Source organism: Homo sapiens, chromosome 4 (genome assembly GCF_000001405.40).
Source record: "Homo sapiens chromosome 4, GRCh38.p14 Primary Assembly".
NCBI classification, from domain to species: Eukaryota; Metazoa; Chordata; class Mammalia; order Primates; family Hominidae; genus Homo; species Homo sapiens.
In genome coordinates, this window is record NC_000004.12 from 36,745,621 (window position 1) to 36,748,728 (window position 3,108).

At 44.4% G+C, this 3,108-nt stretch overlaps 1 annotated feature.

The window, feature by feature from the left end:
* Positions 2,494-2,694: a silencer, noted in NCBI's record as "peak5022 fragment used in MPRA reporter construct". NCBI's record gives its function as "represses an SCP1 promoter by STARR-seq MPRAs in K562 erythroleukemia cells {active_cell/tissue: K562}" and the evidence as "EXISTENCE:reporter gene assay evidence [ECO:0000049][PMID:32103011]".

A 3,108-nucleotide genomic window follows, 5' to 3' on the forward strand; every position in this document is an offset into this window, starting at 1 on the left:
ATCTGTACATTTAACCTTGAATATAATATAAAAGTTGGAATTTTTATAAAAAAGCCAATTTAAATAAAAAACTGTAACTACTAAAAAACATTATACACCATAAACCAGGTATCCAAGGCCAATTCAACCTTTGAAAATCACATGTTCCATCACCTCAACAGGCTAAAGAATAAAAATCCATCCATCAATAGGCTAAAGAAGAAAAACAGATGATTGTATCAATAGACGTAGAAAAAACCTTTGACTAAACCCCTCAAAAAAATTCATGATAAAAACTCTCAGTAAACTAGGGATACACCAGGACTCACTCATCTGTGTAAAAAACATCTAAAAGAAATTTTAGCTAGCATCATAGTTAATGGTGAGAAAATCAAAGCTTTCTCACTAAGATCAGGAACAAGGCATGGATGTTCCCACTCACTTCTCCTTTGTAACATCTCACTGGAAGTCCCAGCTAATGCAACAAAATAATAAAGAAAATAAAACATATGTAGATTGGGAAAAAAGAAATAAAACTGTCTTTGCAGATGATATGATTATCTGCGCAGAAAATCTGAAAGGATCAACAACAACAACAAAAAACTGGAATAAGAGATTATAGGAAATTTGCCAGATACAAGGTTAATATACAATAGTTCATTGCTTTCCTATATACCAGCAATGAACAAGTGGAATTAAAATTTAAAAAATGCAGTACCATTTACATTCGCACCCCCCAAAATGAAATATATGTGTACATTTAAAAAAATATGTACAACCTCTATCTGGTAACCTACAAAAGCCTACTGAAAAAAATCAAAGAAGAACTAAATAAATGGATAGAAAAAAAATATTGTCAAGATGTCAGTTCTTTCCAACTTAATCTATAATTGAGCACAATCCCAATCAAAATTCAAGCAAGTTATTTTGTGCAGATATGGACAAACTTATTCTAAAGTTTATATGGAGATGCAAAAGATGCAGAATAGCCTACATAATATTAAAAGAGAAGAACAAAGTTGGAGGCTGACAATACCTGATTTCAAGACTTACTCCAAAAAGTACTCAAGACGCTGTGGTATTGGTGAGAGAGTAGACAAATCAATCAAATAAAATAGAGCGTCCAGAAAAGACCTACATAATTATAGTCAACTGACATTTTATAAAGGAGCAAAGGAAATACAGTGGGGAAAAGATCGTCTTTTCACAAATGGTGCTGGAGCAACTGGACATCCACGTGCCTAAAAATGTATCTAGACACAGATTATTCAAAATATAATTCAAAAAATATCATTAATCTAAATACAAGATGCACAATTACAACCTTTTAGGAGATAACATAAGAGATGACCTGGGGCATAGTGATGACTTTTTAGAACAACAAAAGCGCACAATCCATGAAAAGAAAAATATTGATAAGCTGTATTTCATCACAATTAAAATTAATACCCTGTGAAAGACACTGTCATCAGAATGAGAAGACAAGCCACAGAATAGGAGAAACTGTTTGCAAAAGGTATGTCTGATAAAGAACTGTTACAGAATACATAAAGAAAATCTTAAAACTCTATGATAAAATGAACAGCCCAAGGAAATCCTGTCATTTATAACAATGTAGATGAAACTGGAGGACATTACGTTAAGTTAAATAAGGCAGATACCAAAAGATAAATAACCCCATCATACCCCATGATCTCACTCATGCTGGCTGCAGCAGGGAGGCGCTGCTGGGGCCACACACTCCATGGAGCCGGTGGGAGCCCTGCCCCTTCTGAGTTAAGGTAGGAGCTCCTTGAGTGCTGCTGCAGCCGACCCAGGCCTCCAGCTCCATGGACCAGGCAGAAGCCCCACCCTCCTGGGCGGGGCTGTAGCTGCCCAAACTGCGGCTGTGGATCCCAGCCTCCCTGTGCTCTTGGGGAGGGTGGGCTCAGGCAGGATATCCGCCCTCCCAGGTGTAGCTGCAGCCCCTGGACCCGGCGGCTGAAGACCCCGGCCTCCCACTCCACAGAGCAGGCAGGCAGGAGCTGGGGACAAGCTGGAGCCCCGCTCCTTCTGAGTTGGCAGGGCAGGAGCTCCCCTGGTGCAGCTGCGGTTGCCCTCCCAGGTGCAGGACCTGGGCTGCTCTGCAGCCTGCACCCTCAAGGGGCGGGGAAGGGCAACCCACTGTCCCTTCAGGCTCTGAGGTGTCTGCTCCTGCTGCCTGGCCTCTCTCCACTCCCAGGGCCTCTCCATCCCAGAGCGGGGTCTAAGGGCACACACCAAGCCCTGGGGCCATGAATGGCAGTGGGAAGCAGGCAGATTCCTGGGCAGAAGAGGGTGGGTCCCTAGTACGGCCCAACCTTCAGGCCAGGGAGGGCCTGAAGGCTGGGGGCTGGGCCATCAGTCCTAGAGACTGGAGTAGGGATTCATAGACCCTCTTGCAGCCCACCAATGGCCGCCAATGGACAAATCCACAGGCACTTCCTCCCCTCGGAAGTCCATGAAAGCCTGGACCAGCCAGACCAGAGGAGGACAGCCAGAGCAGGGCAGGGGACAGAGAGAATAAAGAGATGACTGATGGTATGAGAGGAGGAGCTGCAGAGAGGAGCTACCCTCTCCTCTCTGCTGATAGCAGCAGACAACGGGACTACCAACAGCACAGAGGAGCCACCCTCTCTGCTGAGAGCTTCAGAGACCTGCAGAGATATCCAACCAACCTGCCTACAGAAAGAAGCCACTCTCTCCAGGGCCTCCTCCTCTTATGAGCGCTGAGCACTCAATGGGACGACCTGCCTGTAGAGAGGAGCTACCCACTGCAGTCTCCTCTGAGCTGTTTTAACACTAAATAAAGCTCCTTTTCGTCTTCTTCACCCTTCACTTGTCTACACGCCTCATTCTCCCTGGACGCAGGACAAGAACTCAGGCAAAGGTGCCACCAGCCACAGAGGTTTCCAGGAAGCAAACTGACACCCCAAAGATCCCGGAACAACATGTTAAATCTAAAGAGTCAAACTCATGAAAACAGATTAGAATAGTGGTTGTCAGAGGCAGGGTGGGGGAAAAATAGGGGGATTTTGGTCAAAGGGTACAAACCCAGTTATAAGATGAATGTCCTGGAGATCAAATGTATAGCATGGCAACTATAGTTGA